This window comes from Homo sapiens, chromosome 6 (assembly GCF_000001405.40).
Source record: "Homo sapiens chromosome 6, GRCh38.p14 Primary Assembly".
Lineage (NCBI taxonomy): Eukaryota > Metazoa > Chordata > Mammalia > Primates > Hominidae > Homo > Homo sapiens.
The window spans coordinates 144,663,694-144,691,428 of record NC_000006.12 but is presented as its reverse complement, the minus strand read 5'-3'; the positions used below and the strand labels follow the sequence as shown (position 1 = coordinate 144,691,428).

Here is a 27,735-nt window from a genome sequence, read left to right as displayed (position 1 = left end):
TAATCAAGTTGGGGCCAGGTGCAGTGGCTCACGCCTGTAACCCTAGCACTTTGGAAGGCCGAGGAGGGTGGATCACTTGAGGCCAGGAGTTCGAGAGCAGCCCAGCCAATATGGCGAAACCTTGTCTCTACTAAAAATACAAAAATTAGCTGGGCATGGTGGCACGTGCCTGTATTTCCAGCTACATGGGAGGCTGAGGCATGAGCATCACTTGAACCTGGGAGATGGAGGTTGTAGTGAGCCAAGATTGCACCATCGCACTCCAGCCTGGGCAGCAGAGCAAGACTCTGTTCCATAAATAAATAAATAATCAAGTTGAAATATTGTAGATCTAGCATATAAACTGAATAAAACTTTTTTTTTCCCTAGATGTTGAATTGGAAGCATTGTTAGCATGCTTCTTCCACTTGGAAAGACGAAATAGTGTGTAAAGATTCATACTGTGAACTTATTTCCAAGAAGCAACACAGGAACTTAACAAGAAAACTGACAGACACCACAGACCCTTTGAAAGAAGCAGCAGGCTGCAGTGTATATCATGAGCCAGGCCAAAAATTGTAAGTCCCCAGAGTGTGAAAAAGGGAGAAACTGCCTACAGCACATACACACCCACCGGGGAACCTGGCAATCCAGGTCAGGGAAAAGGCCTTAACCCTACCCAGCTCCGGAGCTGGTGTAGTGAGCAATGGGGAGTAGATGAGAAGGAACCACATCGGGATGTGCTGTGTGTGCACTCCCAGTCTCCAGAGGGATGAAGGGAAGTCATTCCTGATCCTGTCTCACAGGAGACCTTGTGGAGGTCAGCCAATTAACTCAGGCACGGGTCGCAGGTTAAGAGATGCTCCCAACTGAAATTCATGATATAAACTTGAGTGGGCATAGGAGCTGGGTGCCCCTGCTTCATGGGCAGATGAGGATGGGCATGGCCTGAAAGCCCTGCAGTTTCCATCTCCACTGGGAAGGCTTATGATCTGGGGCAGTTTTGAGTTTCAGTGCAGACTGGCTGGAACTTTGCTAGCTGTTGCTGTTAGTGGAATGCTGCAGATGTGAGACCTGCCTTGCCAAGTGCAGGGAAGCTAGGTGGGTCTTACTGCTGCTGGCTACACCCCCCTCATTTGCACTCTTCTGTGCAGCAGAGGCAGCTGTGCTCCTCCTTGGAACACTACCCCAGCAGCCAGCAAACTGTCCTCCAATCCCACTAGGGCTGCTGCTTGCGTCTGCCTGTGGAGAGCCAGAGCATGGACTTGCCTGACCCACCTCCCTCCTGGTTTTGCCCCTTCACTCCTCCTGGTAGCTTAACACACACACACACACACACACACACACACACACAAAAAAAAAAAAAAAAAAAAAACAGAAACTTTTGGGAGCTCTATGGCCCCTCCCATTGCTTGGGACACCAGAGTACCTCCCCTGGGTAACATAAGGCAAAGCATAAATCCCACCAGTACCACCACAGCCAGTGCCCTTTTCCAAGTGCCACCTTCTAGCTGGAGGCCAACTGACTCACTCCATGATAGCATCTGCAAGGAGAATAACACCACACCAGGAAGGGGAAAACTTGTGTGACCTTGGCCGTCACCATTACCTGCATCACCCTGGCTAACCAGGAGGCCCTGAGTCTGCCCACGTGACCTGTTCGTTACTATTACACATGGCATGTGAGAAAGCCAACACACTAAGGCTATTTATAACCAAGGAATATCACAGAGTCTACATCACTCCTCTGCAACCCCCCTCAGAGCTGGTGCTGGCACCCACTGCTGTGAGACTTCAGGACAGGTCACATCACTGGATCCCTTGCAGACATTCCCCCTGCACCAGCCTGGACTGTGGCAGTCCAAATGGGTTGCTAGACTGAGTGGAGCAGCAGCATTCACAATAGTCTGGCCCTCAGGGATTCCTCCTCCTAGGGGAAAGAGGGAGTGCTCCACATCAAGGGAGCAACCCGTGGGACAAAAGAATGACAAAAGAATGAAGACAGCAGGCCTTGACTCCCAGACATTTCCACCTGTGGGAAGTTTCTTTCAGCAGAGGCATGGGTGTAATGCTGGGCTCAGTGGAGAAAGTCTGCAGCTCTGCCCCAAGAGTCAGGCAGCCCTGGTGCTCCTGAAGGGTCTTGGAGGAGGGGACTTCTCTCCTTCACCCACCATTGCAGACACACCTGGGGCTGCTCCCACAGGAGCTTGGCGTGGGTGCACCTGTAGACAGCCATTCTAGAACAGTGGGGTGACTGCATCCCCACAAGAGAAGTACCTTCCAGGTTCAGGCTTACATGAGGGGTAGAGTCACAGTCCCTCTCTATATGTAACATCAGCATTCCTACAGATGGAAAGAGGTATCTGTGTCATCTGAATAGCCAGGAAACTGGGTCAGGAGAGTGACTGGGTAGTGGGGCTTTCCTGCTGGCCTGACAGGAGGGCTGAGGTAGCTTCCTCCCTTTTCCCTGAAAAGACCTCAGTGCATTTCCCTGAGAGATCCCCTAGCTGCCTCTGTCAAGGCTGGGACCTCTGTGCATCACTGGGTATTACATTACCCACCTGTTTGGTTTTTACTCATGGACACCTCCACTACTGGCCTGAAACCTGAACTGTTCAACCTAGTAAATGAAATACTGGATAAAATAAATAAGTGCACACCACTGGGGAATGAGATAACCTTCAAGAGACCACTGCCATTCCAATGCCACAGGAGACAGTGAACCCACTCACACACCAAGCACATTACTACTACAATGAGTATCTGAGAAAGCCATCATACAGACTCTATAACCAAGGAACTCATACAGAGTCTTCACCCCTGAAACCATGCAGAGCTGAATTGGGTTACAATAAACTAGAGTCATTAAAATCACATCCTCAAGGAGAGAAAAAGAAATTTAAAAGAACACATAGTCGAACAAAAAATAAATTAAAAAATAATTAGAATAAATAGTTTTCTGCAATGAGAAGGAGCCAGAAAAATAATTCTGGCAATATGACCAAACAGGGTTCTTTAACACCACCAAATGATCACACTAGCTCTCCAGCAATAAATCCAAATCAATATGAAATCTTTGGAAATACCAGATAAAGAATACAAAAGGATGACTATTAAGTTACTCAACCAGATACAAGAGAAAAGTGAAAAACAACATAAAGAAGTTATAAAAACAATTCAAGATATGAATGAAAAATTTTCTAATGAGATAGATTTAAAAAAACAGAACTTCTGGAAATGGAATACATATTTAAGGAATTACAAAACGCAGTGGAAAGTTTTAATAGATTAGACTAAGTATAAGAAAGAATTTCAGAGCCTTGTCAAAATTCTGTCAAAAGCCTGTCAAAAGACAAGGCTTTCAAATTAACCCAATCAAACAAAATTAAAGAAAAAAGAATGAAAAGAAATGAACAAAGTTTTCAAGAAATATGGGATTATGTAAAAGGGCCAAATCTAAGAATCACTGGTGTTCCTGAGGGAGAAGAAAAACCAAATAGTTTTGAAAACTTATTTGAGGAAATAACTGAGGAAAACTTCTCTAGCCTTGCTAGGGATTAGACATCTAAATACAAGAAGCACAAAGCAGTCCTAGGAGACTCACTACAAAAAGGACATCAGCAAAGCATATAGTCATCAGGCTATCTAATGTCAACATGCAGGAAACAGTTCTAGGAGCACTGAGACAAAAGCATCAAGTAACCTATAAAGAAAAACTTATCGAATGAACAGCAGACTTAGCAGACTGCTAAGTCAGACTCAGTAGAAACCTTACAAGCTAACAGGAATTTGGATCCTACCTGTAGCCTCTTTAAACAGAAAAAACCGTCAGCCAAGAATTTTGTATTCAGCAAAACTAAGTTTCATAAATGATGGAGAAATAAAGTATTTTTCACACAGCCAAATGCCAAAGGAATTTGTCATATGCATATATATTTAGGATTATAATATCTTCTTGTTTGATTATTTCATTATTATATAATAACCTTCTTTGTCTTTTTTTGATTGTTTTTACTTTAAAGTCTGTTTTATCTAATGTAAGAATAGCTACTCCTCACTTTTGGTTTTCAATTGCAAATAATATATTTTCACCCTCTTTACCTTGAGTCTATAAGAATCCTTATGCGTTAGGTGAGAAAGAGAAAGTCTTCCCTAACTCATTCTATGAAGCCATTATCACTCTGATACCAACACCAGGAAACAACCTAACAAACAAAAGTACAGACCAATATCCCTGATGAACATAGATGCAAAAATCCTCAACAAAATACTAGTAAACCAAATCCAACAGCACATCAATAAGATAACTCACCAAAACCAAGTAGGTTTCATCCCAGGGACGCAGGAATGTTTCAACATATGCAAGTCAATACAAGACCAGCCACACAAGAAATGCTAAAAGGAGTTCTCAATCTTGAAATGAAAGGTCATTATGCCCCAGAACAGAACCTTCTGAAAGCATAAAACTCACTGGGTCTATAAAACAATAACACAATAAAGAAAACAAAGTGTCTAGGTGACAATCAACATGATAACTGAAACAGTGCCTCACATCTTAATAATAACATTGAACATAAATGGTCTAAATTTCCCACCTAAAAGACATAGTGGCAGAATGGATAAAAACACCCAAAGTGTCTCTTCAAGACACTCACCTAACACATAAGGATTCTTATAGATTCAAGGTAAAGTGGAAGAAAATATGACATGCGAATGGCAACCAAAAGTGAACAGTAGTAGCTATTCTTATATCAGATAAAACAGACTTTAAAAGCAACAACAGTTAAAAAAAAAGACAAAGAAGGTCATTATATAATGACAAAAGGATCAATCCAACAAGAAGATACTACAATCCTAAACATGTATGTGTCTAGCTCTGGAGCTACCAAATTCAGAAAGCAATTACTACTAGGCCTAAGAAAAGAGATAGACTGCAGCACATTAACATTAGGGGACTTCAACACTATACTGACAGCACTAGACACATCACTGAGGCAGAAAGTTAACCAAGAAACACTGGACTTAAACTACACTCTAGAACAAGCGCACTGAACTGCTTTTTACAGAACATTCTACTCAAGAACTGAAGAATATACAATCCTCTCATCAGCATATGGAACATTCTCCAAAATACATAAGGCCACAAAACAAGTCTCAATTAATTTTTAAAAATCAAAATTATATCAAGCATCTTCATAGACCAATGAAGCAGAATAGAGAACCTAGAAATACAGCCAAATACTTACAACCAACTGATTTTGACAAAGCACACAAAAACATAAATTGGAAAAAGGACATGCTATTCAATAAATGATGCTGGGAACACTGGAAAGTCACATGTGGAAGAATGAAACTGAATTCCTATTTCTCACTATATACAAAAATCAACTCAACATGGATTAAAGACTTAAATCTAAGACCTGAAACCATTAACAATTTTAGAAGAAATTCTAGGAAAAACTCTTCTGAAAATTGGCCTAGGCAAAGAATTTATGACTAAGACCCCAAAAGCAAATGCAAATGTAGCAAGAACAAAAATAAATAAATGGCACCTACTTAAACTAAAATGCTTCTGCACAGCAAAAGAAATAATCAACAGAGCAAAAAAACAACCCACAGAATGAGAGAAAATATTTGTAAACAATGCACCCAACAAAGAATTGATATCCAGAATCTCCCAACAAAGAATTGATATCCAGAATCTACAAGGAACTCAAATTAGCAAGAACAAAAACAAATAATCCTACTAAAAAGTGGGCAAATGACATGATTAGACATTTCTCAAAAGAAGATATACAACTGGGCAACAAACATATGAAGAAACACTCAATATCACTAATCCTCAGGGAAATGCTGGTAAAACCACAATGAGATACCACCTTACCCTGACCAGAACGGCCATTATTAAAAAGTCAAAAAACAATAGATGTCAATGAGGATGTGGTGAAATGGGGATGCTTAAACACTGGTGAGAATGCAAATTAGTACAATCTCTAAGCAGATTCCTCAAAGAACTAAAAGTACATCCACTATGTGATCTAGCAATACCACTGCTAGGTATCTACCAAAAGGAAAAGAAGTCATTATGTCAAAAAGACACTGGCACTCGTATGTTTATCACAGCACAATCCACAATTGCAAAGATTTGGAACCAACTTAAGTGTCCATCAATCCATGAGTGGATAAGGAACATGTGGTATGTGTATACCATGAAATACCACTCAGCCATAGAAAAGAATACAATAATGTCTTTTTCAGCAACTTGAATGGAGCTGGAGGCCATTATTCTAAATAAAGTAACTCAGGAATGGAAAACCAAACACTACATGATCTCACTTACAAGTGGGAGATAAGCTATGGGTATGCAAAGGCATACACAGTGATATAATGGACATATGAGACTCAGAGGTCGGGGAGGTTACCAAGGCAGTGAGGGATAAAAAAAATAAAACTACAAAATGGGTACAATGTACAGTACTCAAGTGATGGGTGCACTAAAATCTCAGACTTCACCGCTATACAATTCATCCTTGTAACTAAAATCACCTGTACCCTTAAAGCTACTGAAATTGTAAAACTTTTAAAAAATAAATAAGTAAAAAATAAAAATGAACTGGATAAAACTGTAAAGTTAAATAACAGTAGATAGACAGGTCCAGTATATAATAAGCTAATGAAGGAAGGCACCCCCCTGGATAGGACTCATAACCTTAATGTGAAGGAGAGCCATCTTACTGATGAGGTTGAAAACAATTCTTATTTGATTTGATACAACAGAGGGCTCTTCACTAACTAATAGGGGAAAACCAATTGCATTCAGATGCACATGGCCAGGTCGAATGTAATAAAATAAAATGTGTACTCTGGAAAACAGTCTGCCCTTGATCTCCTGGAAATTGATTATCTCAGGGATGCCAAGATGACAGGAAATGTTAACTGACTCCCAGTGTGACAAGGTCTACGGGACTTAGAACAGGGATAAAGGCATTTACAGATAAAGTAAAAAGAAACTTGGAAATCAAAATATAAAAAGTTGTGAATATGGATATTGGCACCAACAATAATAGTGGAGAAAAGGATGGAGAATAAAAGGTAAATGGGGCTGGGCGTGGTGGCTCACGTCTGTAATCCCAGCAGTTTGGGAGGCCAAGGCGAGTGGGTCACCTGAGGTCAGGAATTTGAGACCAGCCTGGCCAACATGATGAAACCTCGTCTCTACTAAAAATACAAAAATAAGTTGGGTGTGGTGGCAGCCACCTGTAATCCCAGCTACTTGGGAGGCTGAGGCAGGAGAATCACTTAAACCCAGGAGGTGGAGGTTGCAGTGAGCCAAGATCGTGCCACTGCACTCCAGCCTGGGCGACAGAGCAAGACTCTGTCTCAAAAAAAAAAAAAAAAAAGTAAAGGGACACTTGAATTAATGAGGAATGTAGAAGCATGTCCTATATATAGATCAGGAAGAAGCAGAAATAAGATGATGAAAGATTAGGATAATGGATGCATTCACTTCTAAGGAGATGTTGTTGAAAGATGGAGAAGCAATGCTTAATGAGTCACAATGAGGCTGGCAATTGTCCCTCTTATCCCTGTGTGACAGGGCTCCCTTTTCAGCCAGTGTTTTCTGGCACCACATTTGATGTTTATGGCTGGTATTCAGGCCGTTTGGTGTCCATAGCAGTTGGTAGAGATTCAGAATATTCTCATTGGCTGCTAGGTGAGGAAAATGAGGAAATTAACCTCTATTGAAAAGAGTTTCAAGCGAAGTAGGCAATTAAGGGGAAACCCAACATTTAGAGAGAAAAGTGATGGAAAAGTTTCGAGAAATATTTGAGACATAGGAGAATGTGTTCACAATAGAAGGCAGTATAAGGAGCAGATTGTGCATGAAAGGAATGAGAGGAAAGAACAGAGAAGTAGGGCTGAACAGTGTGCTCCACAGTGATCACTTTCAGTAGGCAATGAAGGAGCCAGGAGCCTGGGAGGTGGATTGCCTCTACAGATTTGTTATGAGAACACTCCTCCCACTCCTTGGGGAGGGATTTTCTCACTAAGCACACTCTGGTCTCTTCTCCACCCCTGAAACAGTCCCTGCAAAGGTAGAGTGACGAATCTGATCTGTAAATTCAGGGAGAATAATTGGGCATGCTTAGCTCAGCCCATACGGTCCACTTGACGACAGGCCATGAAGATACTGAGTTCTTTTCTACTCTTCCATGTATGGTTTCTCACTTGGGAAGCCACCTTGCCCAGTGACTGCTGGTGATTCTGCCTCATTCTGGGGTTTGGTTGACAGCTCCACTCACCTTCACTCTAAGTTACCACCTCCAACCTGGCCTCTATCAGTAATTAACATGGCATTTGAGTTCTCTATTGGCCACATGATGAATGCCCCTTGAGCACACTTTGTTTCATACTTGTTCAGAATCCAGCCAGCAAAGGGGGAAGCTGTTTTGGGAGACCTTCTCAGAAATCCCCAACATTACCGACCGAGAGAAAAACATAGGGTAGAGAGAATTCCTGTGTATTTTAAATTAGTGCCAAACAAAGAGGTAATCAATGAGAATAATAATAGCTAACAATTACTGAACACATACCACGTGCCACCATTTTTGGCAAATGCAGAGGCTAAATTAAATAACAAACTATTTTATCTTTTATAAATATCCAAGTAATAACAAACATGCTATTTTAATTTTATCTTATTCATTTTTTAAATATAAAAATAAAGAAGAGATCATTTACGCCTTTAGCTAAACTTACCTAATCTAGTTAAAAATGGCTTTTATCCAAAAGTCAGGCAATAACAAATGCTGTCTAGCATGTGGAGAAAAAGGAACCCTTGTGAACTGTTGGTGGGAATGTAAGTTAATATAAACACTATGGAGAACAGTTTGGAGGTTCCACAAAAAACTAAAAATAGGGCTACCATATGATCCAGCAATCCCACTGCTGGCTATATACCCAAAAGAAAGGAAATCAGTATATCGCAGAAATATCTGCACTCCCATGTTTGTGGCAGTACTGTTCACAATAGCCAAGATTTGGAAGCAACCTAAGTGTTCATCAACAGATAAATGGATAAAGAAAATGTATTTATACAAAATGGAGTACTATTCCACCATTCTGTCATTTGCAACAATGTGGATGGAAGGGGAGATCATTATGTTAAGTGAAATAAACCAGGTGCAGAAAGACAAACATTGACTATTCTCAGTTATTTTGGGGATCTAAAAATCAAAACAATTGAACTCATGGAGATAGAGTAGAAGGATGGTTACCAGAGGCTGGGAAGGGTAGTTGGTGGGGCAGGGGGGTGATGGGGAGGAAGTGGTGATGATTAATAGGTATAAAACAGTTAGAAAGAATGAATAAGATCCAGTATTTGATAGCAAAACAAGGGTGATTATAGTCAATAATAACTTAGTTGTACATTTTAAAATAACTAAAAAAGTATAATTGGATTGTTTGTAACACAAAAGATAAATGCTTGAGGGGATAGATACCACATTTTCCACGATGTGATTATTATGCATTGCATGCATGCCTGTACCAAAATATCTCGTGTACTCCATAAATATATACACCTACTATATGCCCACAAACATTAAAAATAAAATTAAAAAAATTTTTAAAAGCCATATCTAATCTCTGTAAAAGCACGGACAGGTTAATATAGATACAGATACAGCTTCAAGCTGTTATAAACTTGCAATACTATCAACTATAATAATAGAGCAAATGCATTCTTCCCTCCTCTTCCCTTCACAGATGAGTTCCTTGAGATAACGAGACTGAGTAGACTCAGTTCTTTTTCCACGTACTCACCTCCCCTTCTGTCTCTTTAGTCCTCTGCAATCAGATTTCTCCCTCAACCAGAAAAAAAAAAGGCCCTGGCAAAAGGCCACCAAAGCCCTTCTAATTGCTCCTGGACTCTGCAGGCCTGATCTTACTCCACTTCCTCAAGCAGCTTGCACCATTACTTATGCACTTCTTTTAGAAATCCCTCTTTCCTTGGCTCTCGACAGCATTCCTGGATCTCATCCCTCTTCAGGATAGGGACTTCTCAGTTTCCTTGCTGCTTCCCTCTCCTTCACCATTCCTTATGTATTAGAGTTTCTTGGACTTCTTTGCCCTCTTCTAATGTTTCAACCTCTCTAATAACTAACTCACAATGGTTACCTGCCACCTGTCTCTGGACACCGCCTCCCGTCTGTCTATTTCACCTACTGCTCTCTTTTGAAGAGCAGATCTCCATCTAATGGCTTTGGCTGTCTTCTCCTGGATGTCTCACCAGTGTCTTAACAACGTGAACTAATTATCTGCTCAATCTCTCTTCCCTTTCCTAGATGCCGAAAGTGTCTCCTACCAGGTCTCCCCTCTTCAGAACAGGCTCATCCGAGGCATCCTCCGTAGCTGTGTGAGGGATTCTTCCAAAGCCCAAATCTAATCATGTTACTCAAAAGGCTCCCAATTCCATCCACAATGGAAGGGAGCTTGGTTACACATAGGTGTGCATGACTTGTCTCTTACACCTCTGTCTTTTTGTTAGCCATAGTCTTTTCCCCATGACACCAGCAGCAAACTGTATTCTCAGCCAGACTTAATGTATTGATTTTCATATCAACACAGTGTTATTTCAAGCCCCTAACTTAGTTACCCTTCCCCAGTCATCACCTAGACTATCTGGGGAATAACTATATATGTTTCAAGGCTCAGCTAAGGAATGACCTCTTTTATGAAGCCTTCTTTGATCATCTGAAGTGAGAGTAACCACTCTCTGCTTTGGGCCCTACCTTAATCTAAACAGATTTGTGAACCTCTAGGGGTAGGGACTACATCTTATTAATAGCAATGCCTTAAGCACAGAAATAAGTTTTTATTACATGCTTGAATAAGTGCTTGAATCTCTTGAGGTGACTAATCAAAGTAAAAGTTATTTTAATTCATTATCACATTAATTTATTATTACATTTTACTGGAATGTCTGATCTACCTTAATGCAAAAGTCCACTGCCACAAGCATATTCTCCCATCTTCTAAAAATAATGTTAACTTACTTATTACATAATATTCCAACTGTAGTTTATAAGTTCTTTCTTTCCAGGTTAAAAAAAAATGTGTCATGATAGGCTTAGGCAATAACTCCCAAGAAAGACCAAAAATTTCTTGTCTGTAACTTTTTACTTAGAATGATCTGTTTATGATATAGGTCTTCATTAAATTATTCTTCCTAAATAAGTCATTCTCTAACCTCTGAAAATCCCAGCACCATGTATACCATCTTCACTAGGGCCAGCTCTGGAATTCTTAGGTTGCTGGCATAGATGACTTGCTGGATGCTCAGTGAATGCTTTTCACTATTAATATTTTAAATATTTTTGTTCATATTTATGAGGAATGGAAAGTTGCAACCTGATGGGATCTAGGCAGTTGAAAATTCAAATCTTAAAAAAGTATAATCCCTCACTACATAGAACTCCCTAATTTTCTTCTCTTACTAAGAAAAAGTAGTTGGCCAATGCTGACCTATTGTATTTCCCAATGGGAACTTTACACAGAGCATCCATGTCCATGCTGCATTGCTCCCTTCCTCACATGTAAGAGGAACTGCAAATTCCACTCTCTGAGCTCCAGAAGAATAAAAACCTTTCAATACATCTTAGAAAAAAAAATTTTAATTCATTTATGATAAGTAATCATTGAAAATTCTGTTCTCCATTAAATCTTGAAACCAGCTGAGGCAGATCCAGTGAGCCCCTTTATGTATAAAAATACTTAACTAGATGCTTTCTTAGGCAGGATTTACATAGATTAGGGAACTATCAAACCATTCCATTAAATCTTCATAGCAATCATGAGTGTTAAATATTTCTATTCTGATTTTGTAAATAAAATAATCCAAGGCTCAAAGAGGCTGAGTAGTTTGTTCAAGATCAGAGAGTAAATAGTGAAGTCAGAGTCAAATTCAAGACCATTTGGTTTAAAGGATGTACACTTGGTACAAGGCAAAAAACAAAACAAAACAAAAGCTGATCCAGGACTTCCTGCCAATGTTCTGCTTTTAGATTTTTGCTCAATAACATATTTTTCAGCCAGTATTCACTAAATTTATATATAATTAGGAGCTGTCCACTCTCTATTAAATATGATCTTAAAATATTCTTGATCCCAATAACACTAATCATACTGTCTCTCTGGGTAATTTTCAAGGTCTTTTCCTAGTCAGAATTCTGGTCCTAAGGTTCATCCTTATTTAATTTTACTCTCTCCAAATGCAGACATGAATCATCAATTTTCCATTTTAGTGTCCATAAGAGATATTTAATTTCTATAAATACATCTTGAATGAGGCATAAAAAACAACATGATTAAGCAAAACATGTTCACTGCCAAGAGTAAAAAAGATCTAGATTCAAACTCTGACTTGGCACTTCTTAGCCCCAAAACTTGGCAAGTTCCTTATATTCATTAAACCTCTGTTTCCTCATAGAAGAAATAATGTTACCACCCACCTTACTAGGATTTTTTGATTACGAAATAAAGTAACATTTGTAAAGATCCTAACAAGTACTTAGTCAAGGTAAACACTCAGTAATTAGCAGATGTTGCTAACAGTATTGTTACTAGTATTGTTAGATTTAAAATATATGAACATTTATGAATAGTCTAGAACAGGTGGCAGAAAGTATTGGACACAAATAGAGCTTGAACTATATAACTCAAGGAAACAGGCTTTGCATTAAAATCTTAAACTATTTCTGATGAAATAGAAGTGGTGGTAAGGCTGCGCTTTCTCTTTCTGATATACAAAAATCACAAGTATCTACCCCTTCCACCCCATTATTTTTATTTTGATATTGACTATTCTGACCTGATGCTAGCAGATTTTGCTTTTAAGTCATTCCATCTTTGGTTCATATCATCCAGTCGATGTTGAAGCATAGTAGCCTCTTCAGAATTTCCCAAAGCTTTTACCATCTTCTGCCTGTTTCCGTCAATGCTTTTAAATATGTCATTGTGGGCATCAATTTCTGCCTGGATGTCCTAAACAGAAAAAAGCAAATAGATAATGCAAGTGTTAGGAATCAGTATATCTTTATATTCACAGATGAGTTGCTCTCAAGCAAAATAGTTCATTTCACCTTAAATTATAAGAAATTCAAGTGCTTCCAAAATTCTTATTATTCTGAAAATTATAGTCTTTAAATCTTCAGTACCTCCAGCTTTGTTCTTTTTGCTTAGGATTGTCTTGGCTATACAGGCTCTTTTTTGGTTCCATATGAAATTTAAAGTCATTTTCTCTAGGTCTGTGAAGAAAGTCAATGGTAGCTTGATGGGAATAGCACTGAATCTATCAATTACTCTGGGCAGCAAAAGAAACTACCATCAGAGTGAACAGGCAACCTACAGAATGGGAGAAAATTTCTGCAATCTATCCATCTGACAAAGAGCTAATATCCAGAATCTACGAGGAACTTATATTTACAAGAAAAAAAGCAAACAACCCCATCAAAAAGTGGGCAAAGGATTCAAAGAGTCACTTCTCAAAAGAAGACATTTATGTGGCCAACAAACATATGAAAAAAAGCTCATCAGCACTGGTCATTAGAGAAATGCAAATCAAAACCACAATGAGATACCATCTCCTGCCAGTTAGAATGGCAAGTACACAACAGGTGCTGGCGAGGATGTGGTGAAATTGGAATGCTTTTACACTGTTGGTAGGAGTGTAAATTAGTACAACCATTGTGGAAGACAGTGTGGCGATTCCTCAAGGATATAGAACCAAAAATACCATTTGACCCAGAATCCCATTACTGGGTATATACCCAAAGGATTATAAATCATTCTACCATACAGACAAATGCACATGTATGTTTACTGCAGCACTATTTACAGTAACAAAGACTTGAAACCAACCCAAATGCCCATCAATGATAGACTGGATAAAGCAAATGTGGCACATATACACCATGGAATACTATACAGCCATAAAAAAGAATGAGTTCATGTCCTTTGCAGGGACATGGATGAAGCTGGAAACCATCATCCTCAGCAACTAACACAGGAACAGAAAACCAAACACCGCATGTTCTCACTCATAAGTGGGAGCTGAAAAATGAGAACACATGGACACAGGGAAGGGGACATCACACACCGGGGGATGTCGGGGGGTAGGGCGAAAGGAAAGGGAGAGCATTAGGACAAATACCTAATGTATGCAGGGATTAAAACCTAGATGATGGGTTGATAGGTGCAGCAAACCACCATGTCACATGTACACCTATGGAACAAACCTGCACGTTCAGCACATGTATCCCAGAACTTAAATTGAAATTTTTTAAAAGGTGTTCAATACACTGACTCCTCAATTTTTTTAAAAAATGTATTGTAATCTATAGTTCATGTACCAGCTAGTTAGATGTTGGTATATCAGATTCAATTAGCAATTTTTGAAATCTTATACAACTGTTGTTGCCAAATCACTGAACTTTGCCTAATATCCAACAGACTCTTACTCTCCCGTTTTCACATAGGTAAAACTTCCCTTAAAATATTACATCTTACAGAGGTCACTAAGATATTACATAACTATAACTAAAGTGTTTTTCACATTTTGAAACATTTACTAATAGTTTGTCCTTTCAGTCTTATAAAATTTATTTCTAAAATGTTAAAAGAATATTTTTATATACAAGTTCATCATCTTTAAGAAATAAAAACTAGTAACAACGGTTTCATCACACACCGGGGCCTGTTGTGGGGTGAGGGGCTAGGGAAGGGATAGCATTAGGAGAAATACCTAATGTAGATGACGGGTTAATGGGTGCAACAAACCAACATGGCACATGTATACCTATGTAACAAACCTGCACATTTTGCATATGTATCCCAGAACTTAAAGTATAATTAAAAAAAAAACAAACTTTTAACGTGTCAGCAAAAATACTTCCAAAAGCATAGAATAACTGATATATTCAGGCTTATGCACACACAAAAACAGAGAAAGAGGGGAGAGGGAAATTTTGACAAGATCTAGCCTTTATGCACATATTTAAGTGAAGTTATCTGATTTAAAATGGTTCTTAAATTTATCAACCTAATTATTTTATTATTGATGTGAAAGATCATTCTTGGGAATAAGCACGAAAAACATATATTTGGCATGTAAATAACAATCTAATTCTTCTGTAACAGAAAAATTTCTGGCTAAGTATAAAGAAAGTACAAAGAAAGTCAGTCTCCCTAACTTTACTTGCCCTTAATCTATTTTGATAACTAAATATAAAAGAAAATATTATCCCACTGATTTATCCAAAACAATTGCATGCATTATCTGGGAAATTTCAATAATTTATTTATATCTAGTATTAAATGAAAAAGCCAAAAAAAAAGAAAAATAGTTTATCTTTATAAAATACATTTGGGGGCAGTTTAAGTAAAATTAGAATTATTATAAATTTTTTTAAAATTGGTTCAGATTTTGGGGAAACATTTGGCAATCTATATCAAAAGCCATAGACTTAAAATTCTTTTGAGGAAAATGGCAGATAGGAGACAGGTCTAATGCACAGCTCCTGCTTAGGCAGACAGAACAGCGTCTGGAGACTCACACCGTGAACTTTCGCTCCAAGAACCACTGCAGGAACATACCAGGAAAACCAAAAGAATTCACAGACCCTTTCAAGGAAGCAACTTGCCACTGCAAATGCCACAAGACAGCATAAGCTCTTGGGAGTTTTACAGCCTTACCCATCACCTGAGATGACCTGAGTACTCATCCTGGCCAACATAGGGCAACATTATACCATCCTTCTACTACTGCAGCTGGTGCTCTCTTGAAAGCACCACCTCCTGGCTAGAGGCCAACCAACTCAAGTTATGACAGCAACTCATAACAGAACAACCCTGCTCCAAAGAAGGAGAAAACAACAGCTAATTCCACTGCTTACCACACATCAGCTTAACCACAAGTCCTGAGTCTGTTCACATGACAACTTCACTGCTAGCATAACTGGCATTCGAGAAAACCAGAGCACTAAACCAAACTACAACCAAGGATTCCCACAGAGTCCACTTCACTCCCCTGCAGCCTCCACTGGAGCAGGTGCTACTATCCATGGCTGGGAGACCTGAGGACAGATCACATTACAGGACTCTTTGCAGACATTCCCTAGGATCAGATTGGAGCCCGGTAGCCCTGCTGGGTGGCTAGACGCAGAAGAGCACAACCATCACTGCAGTCTGGTTCTCAGGAAGCCCCATCCCTAGGGGAAGGGGGAGACCACTACATCAAGTGATCATCTTATGGGGCAAAAGAATCTGAACAGTAGCCCGTGAGTTCCAGATCTTTCCAATGAAACAGTTTATTCAAATGAGAAGGGGAACTAAAAAAGCAGTTCTGGTAATATGAAAAAATAATGTTCTATAACACACTCAAAAGATCACATTACCTTTCCAGCAATGGATCCAATCCAAACCAACAAGAAATATCTGAATTGCCAGATAAATAATTCAGAAGGCTGATTATTAAGCTACTCAAGGAGGCACCAGAGAAAGGTAAAAACTACCTTAAAGAAATTTTAAACATGGCCAGGTGTGGTGGCTCATGCCAGTAATCCCAGTACTTTGGGAGGCCAAGGCAGGAGGGTCACTTGAACTCAGGAGTTTGAGACCTGCCTGGGCAACATGGTGAAACCCCATCTCTACCCAAAATACAAAAAAATTAGCTGGAAATGGTGGAATACACCTGTGGTCCCAGCTACTTGGGAGACTGAAGTGGGAAGACTGCTTGAGCCTGGGAGGCAGAGGTTGCAGTGGGCCAAGGTCACACCACTACACACCAGCCTGGGTGACAGAGGGAGACCTCATCTCAAAAAAAGAAATTAAAAAAACAACACAGGTTACGGATGAAAAAGTCTTTAGAGAAATAGATATCATAAATAAAAGACAATCACAACTTCTGGAAATGAAAGACACACTCAGAGAAATGCAAAATACACTGGAAAGTTTCAAGAGAATTGAGCAAGTAGAAAAAAAAAACTTTAGAGCTCAAAGACAAGGCTTTCCAACTAACCCAATCTGACAAAGACAAATAAAAAATAATTAAAAAAAAAACAGCCTCCAAGAAATTTAGGATTATGTTAAACAACCAAATCTAAGAATAATTCATGTTCCTGAGGAAGAAGAGAAATCTAAAAGTTTGGAAAATTTATTTGAAAAAAAAAAATCAATGAAAACTTCCATGGTTTTGCTAAAAATCTAGACATCCAAATACAAGAAGCTGAAAGAACACCTTGGAAATTCGTCACAAAAAGATCATCACCTAGGCATACAGTCATCAGGTTATCTAAAACCAAAATGAAGAAAAGAATCTTAAGAGCTGTGAGGCAAAAGCATCAGGTAACCTACAAGGGAAATCCTATAAGATTAACAGCAGATTTATCAGCAGAAACTCTGCAAGCCAGAAGGGATTGGGGTCTTATTGTTAGCCTCCCTAAACAAAATAACTATCAGCCAAGAATTTTGCATCCAGTGAAACTAAGCTTCATAAATTAAGCCGAGATAAAGTCTTTTTCAGATGAATAAATGCTGAGAGAATTCACCACTACCAAATCAGCACTACGAGAAATCATAAAAGGTGCTCCAAATCTTGAAAAACGACTTGAAATACACCAAAATATAATCTCCTTAAATCATAAATCTCACAGAACCTATAAAACAACAACACAATTTTTTAAAAAAGGGTATTCAGGCAGCAACCAGCATAAGGAATAGAATAGTACCTCACATCTCAATACTAACATTGAATGTAAATAGCCTAAATGCTCCACTTAAAAGATACAGAATGGCAGAATGAATAAAAATCCAACAACCAAGTATCTGCTGTCTTCAAGAGACTCACCTAACACATAAGGACTCATAAAAATTCAAAGTAAAGGATTACAAAAAGATATTACATGCAAATGGAAACCAAAAGCAAGCAGGAGTAGCTATTCTTATATCAGACAAAACAGACTTTAAAGCAAAAACTAAAGAGACAAGAAAGGATATTATATAATGATAAAAGGATTAGTCCATACACCTAACATAGGAGCTCCCAAATTTATAAAATAATTACTACTAGACCTAAGAAATGGGACAGATGGCAACACAATAATTGTAGGGGACTTCAATATTCCACTGACAGCACTAGAGGGGTCATCAAGACAGAAAGTCAACAAAGAAACAATGAACTTAAACTATACCCTAGAACAAATGGGCTTAACAGATATTTGCAGAACAGTCTACCCAACAACTGCAGAATATACATTCTTTTCATCAGCACATGGAACATTCTTCAAGATAGACCATATGATAGGCCATAAAACAATCCTCAATAAATTTAAGAAAATCAAAATTATATCAAGTGCTCTCTCAGAAGACCACAATGGAATAAAATTGTGAATTAATTCCAAAAGGAACCTTCAAAAGTAAACAAATACATGGAAATTAAATAATCTGCTCCTGAATGATCTTTCAGTTAACAAAGATATCAAGATGGAAATTAAAAAATTATTTGAACTGAACAATAATAGTGACACAACCTATCAAAACCTCTGGGATATAGCAAAAGCAGTGCTAAGAGGAAAGTATACAGCATTAAATGTCTACACCAAAAAGTCTGAAAGAGCACAAACAGACAAGGAAAGGTCACACCTCAAGGAACTAGAGAAACAAGAACAAGCCAAACCCAAATCCAGCAGAAGAAAAGAAATAACAAAGATCAGAGCAGGACTAAATGAAAGTGAAACAAACAAACAAAAAACACAAAAAGTAAGTGAAACAAAGAGCTGGTTCTTTGAAAAGATAAATAAAACTGATAGACCATTAACATGATTAACCAAGAAAAGAAGAGAGAGGATATAAATGAGCTCAATTAGAAATGAAATGGGTGATACTACAACTGATACTACAGAAATACAAAAGATGATTCAAGGCTACCATGAACAATGTGAACACCTTTACACACATAAGCTAGAAAACACAGAGGAGATGGATAAATTCCTGGAAATATACAACCCTTCTAAATTAAACCAGGAAGAAAGAGAAACTCGGAATAGACTAGTAACAAGCAGCAAGATTGAAATGGTAATTAAAAAGCTACCAAAAAAAAAAAGTCCACACCAGATGGATTCACAGCCGAATTCTATCAGACATTCAAAGAAGAACTGGTACCAATCCTATTGACACTATTCCACAAGACAGAGAAAGAGGAAATCCTCCCTAAATCATTCTACGAAGCCAGTATCACCCTGATACCAAAACCAGAAAAGGACATAACAAAAAAGAAAACTACAGACCAATATCACTGATAAACACAGATGCAAAAATCCTCAAAAACATACTAGCTAACTGAATCAAACAGCGTATAAAAAAGATTATCCATCATGATCAAACGGGTTTCATACCAGGGATGCAGGGATGGTTTAACATCTGCAAGTCAATAAATGTGATACAACACATAATAGAATTAAAAACAAAAAATCACATGGTCATCTCAATAGCCACAGAAAAAGCAATTAACAAAATCCAGCATCCCTTTATGATTAAAACCCTCAGCAAAATTGGCATAGACGAGACATTCCTTAAGGTAATAAAAGCCACCTATGATGAATTCACAGCCAACATTATACTTAATGGGGAAAAGTTAAAAGCATTCCCCCTGAGAAATGGAACAAGACAAGGATGTCCACTTTCATCACTTCTATTCAACATAGCACTGGAAGTCCTAGACAGTGCAATCAGACAAGAGAAAGAAATAAAGGACATCCAAATCTGTAAAAAGGAAGTCAAACTGTTAGCTGTAAAAAGGAAGTCAAACTGTTAGCTGATGACATGATTGTATACCTAAAAAACCCTAAAGACTCAACCAAAAAGCTCCCAGATCTGATAAATAAATTCAGTAAAGTTTCAGAATACAAAATGAATGTACACAAATCAGTAGCACAGCTATACACCAACAGTGACCAAGCCGAGAACAAATCAAGAATTCAACCCCTTTTAAAATAGCTGTAAAAAAAATAAAATACTTAGGATTATACCTAACCAAGGAGGTAAAAGATCCCTACAAGCAAAACTATAAAATGCTGCTGAAAGAAATCACAGACAACACAAACAAATGGAAGCACATCCCATGCTCATGTATGAGTAGAATAAATATTGTGAAAATGACTATACTGTCAAAAACAATCTATAAATTCTACATGATTCCCATCAAAATACTATCATCATTCTTCATAGAACTAGAAAAAAAAAAAACTCTAAAATTCATATGGAAGCAAAAAGGACCCCACATAGCCAAAGCAAGACTAAACAAAAGGGAGAAATCTGGAGGCATCCCATTAGCTGACTTCAAACTATACTACAAGGCTATAGTTACCAAAAGAGCATGGTACTGGTATAAAAACAGGCACACAGACTAATGGATCAGACTAGAGAGCCCAGAAATAAAGCCAAATACATACAGACAACTGATTTTCGACAAAGCAAACACAAGCATAAAGTGGGGAAAGTTACTCTATTCAACAAATGGTGCTGGGATAATTGGTAAGCCACATGTAGAAGAATGAAATTGGATCCTCATCTCTCACCTTATACAAAAATCAATTCAAGATGGATCAAAGACTTAAATCTAAGATCTGAAACCATAAAAATTCTAGAAGATAACATCAGAAAAACTCTTCTAGATATTGGCTTAGGCAAAGACTTCATGACCAAGAACCCAAAAGCAAATGCAACAAAAACAATTATAAATAGACGGGACTTAATTAAATGAAAAAGCTTCTACACAGCAAAAGAAACAATCAGAAGAGGAAATGGACAGCCCATAGAGTCACAGAGTGGGAAAAATATTCACAAACTATGCATCCAGCAAAGGACTAACATCCAGAATCCACAAGGAACTCAAACAAATCAGCAAGAATAAAAACAAATAATCCCATCAAAAACTTGATTAAGGACATGAATAGACAATTCCCAAAAGAAGATACACAAATGGCCAACAAACACATGAAAAAATGCTCAACATCACTAATTATCAGGGAAATGCAAATCAAAACCACAATGTGATACCCCCTTACTCCTGCAAGAATGGCCATAATTAAAAAATAAAAAAAAATAGATGTTGGTGTGGATGTGGTAAAAAGGGAAGTTTTACGCTGCTCATGGGAGCATAAACTAGTACAACCACTATGAAAAACAGTATGGAGAGTCCTTAAAGAACTAAAAATAGAACTACCATTTGATCCATCAATTCCATACTTGGGTATCTTCCCAGAAGAAAAGAAGTCATTATATGAAAAAGACATGTACACAGGAATGTTTATAGCAGCACCATTTGCAATTGCAAAAATATGGAACCAGTACAAATACCAATCAGTCAACAAGTGGATAAAGAAAATGTAAACATATATGTATACACACACACACACACACACACACACACACACACCATGGAATACTACAATACTACTCAGGCATAAAAAGGAATGAAATAATGGCGTTCACAGAAACCTGGATAGAGTTGGAGACCATTATTCTAAGTGAAGTAAGTCAGGAATGGAAAATCAAACATCGTATGTTCTCACTTATAAGTGGGAGCTGAGCTATGATGACAGAAGGTCATAAGAATGGTATAATGGACTCTGGGAGCTCCAGGGGAAGGGTGGGAGGTGGGGTGAGGGATAAAAGACTACACATTAGGTTCAGTGTACACTGCTTGGGTGATGGGTGCACCAAAATCTCAGAAATCATCACTAAAGAATTTATGGATGTAACCAAACATCACCTGTTCCCCCCAAAACTACTGCAATTTTAAAAAGCCATAAAAATGTTAAAATTATCTAACTTAAGAAGACTTATGTATAAAAATGTTTTAACACACTGATTGTTTTTAGAGTAAAAGAGTGGAAGCTATCATAATATATTAGTGGTGATATAATATTTTTAACAACAGGATATAAAACTATATATTATGATAATTTCATTTTTAAAAGTACATACTTTAATTGGCATATGCATTTGTGTATAATTTGACACATACACAATAGGACTACAAAAATAAACAAAAATAGTGTAACCTCTATAGAAGAGGATTACAGATAAGTTTAGTTTTCATCTCTATACTTCTCTGAGTTTTCAAAAAGTTAAACTCAAAGTTTCTTTTTATTAGATAAATCTAACAAATTTAAGATATAGAGTGTCTATCCAATTTTTTTCCTACTTTTCCCTTATAAAATTGTCAGCATAACTATCCATATTAGTTTGGCAATTATCTTTTCCTCCTGAATTTAATGGAAGCAACCTAATTGTAGCTAACTCTGGCATGACAGCCAGTAATGTATCATAAGTAAGTGTGAATTACAAACAGAAAAGCAGGGACCAGAGCTGGGTATGAAGATGTGGTGTGAGTCTCCATGGCTATCATTGGTAATGAACAGTAAAACAGCTCACTGCAGAAATAAAAAACTTGCATTTCAGGCAATGAATCTGAATTAGTAAAGGAGAGCAAACTCCTAAACACCATAGTTCTATTGTCCTTCTACTCTGAAGCTTTTCTTTATAAGACTCTGCTATAGTCTGAATATTTGTGTCCTCCCAAAATTCTTTTTTTTGAACCCCTAACCCTGACAATAATGGTATTAGGAGGTGGGGCCTTTGGGAGGTGATAAGGTCATGGGTGGAGCTCTCATGAACGAGATTACTACCCCTATAAAGGAAGCCCCAGAGAGCTGCCCTGCCCTTGCCATCAGGTGAAGACCCACCTAGAAGGTAACACCTATGAACCAGAAAGTAGGCCCTCACTAGAATATCGAATCTGCCAGTGCCATGATCTTGGACTTCCCAGTCCCCAGATCTGAGAGAAATACATTTCTGTGGTTTATAAGCTACTCAGTCTATGGCATTTTGTTATAACAGCCCAAACTGACTAAGACAGCCTCACTCATTGTAAGTTTCTCTTGTTATAAATAAATAAGCAGGGTGAAAATTTACATAGGAATACTTTAAATACTCAGAATGCTTTTCTTTATTTAAAATTCACTCCTAGTAAGCACACCCATGCATTCTACCAAGAATCCAGGCTTAGGGACCAGCATCTAAGTGCTTGTTTTTCAATCACCCATAGACCTCCACTAACCAGAAACACCCAAGGAAGGGCCTTTTGCACCTCACTACTCCAATCAGCATGTTAGGAAGATGTCAGTTACATGAGGTGAATTGGCAGCACTGACCTAGTATTATTTCTGATGGGATTTGAGATGTCTAACATGACACTAATAGGGTCAGATTTAGAGACTGGGTGAGATGAACACAAAGTTTAATAGACAGCTCCTGCAAGATTTATGGTCCAAATTTGCAAACCCATTGATCTCTGAGGTTATCTGACCCAAATGACAAAACCAAATCTGGTCCAATGCAAAGTGTGGTTTGCAGTTTGCAGAATTAGGCCTAACCGCTGAATAAAAACTCTGAGATTGTTGAATCTTTTGCATTTCACTGGCAGTTCTATCCCAGAGCAGTGCAGAAGAGAAGTGAATAGGGCAGCTGGGAAACAGAGCCAGATAATGATTCAAGGTTCTCAGGCTGTGCAACATTATGTGTAGAAAATTGCAGTCTCATTATAATCATAGTTTGAGATGTGCCAAATAGAAATTCTCAGTGAAAAAAAGAAAAAGGGAAGTTCCGCTGAAAAGTTCTTTGGTGTCATCTCCTGATACAACTGTTCTATTTTTGTGTCCTGAAGTGCATTTTAAGACCTCTAAAGAGACATATTTAAAGGTGTGCAGATAGTGTTTTGCAATGATTTTATGCTTACGCTATATATCTGTAAGGTAGCCATCTTTCTCAGGAAGCTCAATGACACGACAAGCAAGGCACCTCTTTGCTCTCTATTGCCAAGGAGAACCTGGCTTCAAATTTCCTGTTTAAGTTCCTATACATCATTATCGATGAACCACACCTAAAATCACAAGACAACTTCAAACTACAACATCCTGATGTGGTTTGACCTATTTGATTCCTTTCACATTGAAGAGAAGCAAAAAGTAAAAGGCCGGGCACAGTGGCTCAAGCCTGGAATCCCAGAACTTTGGGAGGCTGAGGCAGGTTGGTCACCTGAGGTCAGGAGTTCCAGATCAGCCTAGCCAACAGGATGAAAATCCCATCTCTCATAAAAATAGAAAAAAATTAGCTGGGTGTGGTGGTGCATGTCTGTAATCCCAGCTACTCGGGAGGCTGAGGCAGGAGAATCACTTGAGCCCTGGAGGCAAAGGCTGCAGTGAGCTGAGATGGTGCCACTGCACTCCAGCCTGGATGACAGAGGGGGATTTCTTCTAAAAGAAGAAGAAGAAGAAGTAGAAGGAGGAGGAGGAGGAGGAGGAGGAAGAAGAGGAAGAAGAAGTAGTAGTGGTGCATTAAGATGCATAGTTTTCTAAGTTTCACAAGAGCATACGCAACATCAGGACATTTGGGTTCCAAGAACATAAAGAAAATTCGCCTTCTCACATCAGATCAGGCGATGTGTTTTCCAACCCAGCTACCACGACGAATGGGAATGAAACAGGACTGCATAGCTGGCCCAACCAAGGATGATAAGCAGTTCCACAAACCTTTCTTTAACTGTGCTACCAGTGATCATATGTTCATGTTGGAATATAATTTTCAGTATGTGGAAAACCCTTCCACACATGATCATCATCAAAAGTTGGGAAGAAAATCAAACCACAAGTGATCAAAGAAAAGGAAATCCACAGACATTATTTTGTTTTATTTGACATTTGGTGGCATATTAACTTTGCCAAATATACCCAGAGTGCCTCAAAACAGAAAATCATCTTAATATTTCTTCTGTATCCTCACAGTCTCTGTTACATAGAAGGATCCTAATGTAAACAGAGTAGATAGATGACACATAGATACACATATCAATGTATGAGTGGATTAATAGGTTTATTTTGATTGACTGGCAAATTGGCCACTATAGTGCTAGGAGAAAACCAAACAATTGAAAAATTGGAAGGAAATGTAGTAATCATTTTGTGCAATTTCTTCACTTGAAAAGTTTAATGGGGGAACTTAAAATAATTTAGAAGCCTGCACTGCAAAGTCCTGGCTAAGCTTGCACTGAAAATTTAGAAATAAATGCAGTTAATGAATCATGTTTCTTCGTAGATCACTATGCAATGATGCACTGATTTGAAACTCAGGATGTCAGCATGGGAGGCTGTCAGATCATGACCCTGATGTGGCGTCAAATGCTACAATAAATTAAAGTTCCATGAAAGAGGGCTGGCTCTCACTGCACAGCTGGGAGACTTGGCCCTACTGATGCTTACCTCTGTCACCTGCAAGCCCTTCTGAACTTTAAACAGCACAAAATGGTTACTGATAATTAGTTATGGGAATGTAATCCATCTTGAAGCACAAAGCAATGCTCTTCCAAGCATTTAACATAAGCCAGTCATGTGCACAGAGGGGCCATGGCAAGATATTCAAGCAGTTGAACTAACATTTGAAAACAGGGCAGAAGCAATGTCCTAAGGATTCACTTGAAAAGTATTTTAAAACAATGTAAGTATAATGTAGAAGGTTAAGAAAAGCCAGGAGTTAGAAAAATAGGACTACACACTTTTCTCTAAATAAAACACCATCAAAAGCATAAGATGCAAACCCTCAGAACAGCCCTCCAGAAGATGGCTACAAAAGCTCACTGAGGTTCACTGATAAGTGGTTAGTCTTTCTGTAAACAACACCCACTATTCAGATCAAGATAAACTTCACAAATACGGGAAAACATTTATTTATTTACTTTTTACTTATTTAATAATTAGTATTTGACTACAAGTTTTGCCCTTAACTGGGCATTTCTCTAATGATATAACCCATAGAGATATAACTGTAAACACTTTATAATGTATATCAAATAACTTGTTTATAATGTTTCACAGTCAAGCTACTACTTGATTATAAAGCTACAAGTAGTAGCTTGATTATAAAACATTATAAACAAATTATGTGATATACATTATAAAACAAATCAATAAAACATCATGAAAATAAAACATATTTTGCTTAAATATGTAAGCAAAAATATTTCCTCACATTATAATAAACAGAACTGTCTGAAATCTCTGACAGGAAACAGAGATTTAGAACAGTACCACCAGGAAGTCTTCAACAACTAAATGGGTGCTAGACTAGATTCATCCTCTTTGGTCTTGTTAAAATAATTTTGGTTTATTTTTGCACCAACTATTTACTTAACCTTATGTGGCAACAGTGATGTTTTTTTCTGAAGGAGTTCTGACCCCTTTCCTGAAGGTGAAGAAGAAATGAGGTTAGAACAATTTCGCTATCATGTCCCAAAGCTCAGCCTAACTAAACAAAGTTAATCATTAGAGGAAAATAAATCCACCATTCCTTTCAAAAGTCAGACTAGATTTCAGAATTATTATCAGGAGCTCAGCAGGATTACTGCCAGAGCTTTAGGTTTTGAAAATGAGGAATCATGATTTTAAAAATATATATATATATTACTTAAATAATAATAGAATAGGCAAATAACATCATCTTCAAAGGTTATGTCATATGTAAATATGTTTTGAAACAGTTTGTGAGGTTTCTGGGATAGTAATTGTCATTAATTATTCAATTAATTTATTGATTTTAATTATTATTCTATAAATTTTCTTCCAACAGCTAATCTCACAGATTTTAATCACTCTATTGAATCACATTTTTGACTGACAATAGAGGTGGTATCATCAGGTCTACAGCAGCATTTCTGAATTAAGAAATCGATGCTAATAATGTTCTTTTCCTATTATCTGTGATGATAAATATAGGTAAGACTCGAGGTGGGTGGATAGCTTGAGCCCAGGAGTTCAAGGTCAGCCTGAGCAACACAGCAAGTCCATGTCTCCAAAAAAAAAAAAAAAGTAAGACAACAGAGTAGAAAACAGTCAAATTACTAAGTGGAACAAACTCAGATAGTGTGATGAAAACTGAACAAACAAATCAGATCGTGTAATCAAAACTGAACAGGTCAGAAAACCCAGAGAAAAATTATCGCATTTCAAATGTTTAAAACTACAAGCCTGGGGCACACAGCTTCTCAACTTCTGACCCATGTCAAAGCAGTCCCTGTTACCCTGAAAGCTCCCAATTTCTTCCCCTGACACAAGTCCACCCATGGGCCACACACATGCACACACATTGGTATATAATCTCATTTCCTTCTTTCAACTTAAACTCATCTGTTAAGTCTCAGTTTAAATGTAATTTCTCCAGGAGAGACTTCACAAGTACTGAGATTAGGGCTATCATTACTCTTATAATTTCATCTACTTTTGCTTAATTATGCAGTTGTCATTGAAAATGTCCTTGTCTGTATCCTCCCATTCGGCCATAAGATCAATGTCTTCTCCATCTATACACTTAGACTAGCACCTGGTACATACTTCACAAATATTTGCTAAGTAGGGAATAAATGAGGAGACTTTGAAATGTGTTTACTATATCTTATTGAGGACACATTTGTTTTAAAATGAGATATGGCAAACTGAGCAATACAATATAGCTTCAAATTGTAATTATAAAAGATAGAGTCATGTGAAAGGAGGTAAATGCCATAAAGTAATTCAGCATTGAGTGGTTTCTCTCTGTGTTGTTATGATAGGAAGCATCTTTGCCCAAGGAGTCACCAAGAGAATGGTA

The 27,735-nt window shown here is 38.0% G+C and overlaps 1 protein-coding gene across 2 annotated transcripts in view; it reads right to left on the bottom strand.

Annotated features, from left to right (window-relative positions):
- Positions 1–27,735, bottom strand: part of UTRN (utrophin) — a 567,700-nt gene that overhangs the window by 161,606 nt on the left and 378,359 nt on the right. For both annotated transcript variants that reach the window (NM_007124.3, NM_001375323.1), the window contains one exon: positions 12,851–13,023. In NM_007124.3, coding sequence (NP_009055.2) covers positions 12,851–13,023 — 173 coding nt within the window. The remainder of the gene's footprint in view (positions 1–12,850; positions 13,024–27,735) is intronic.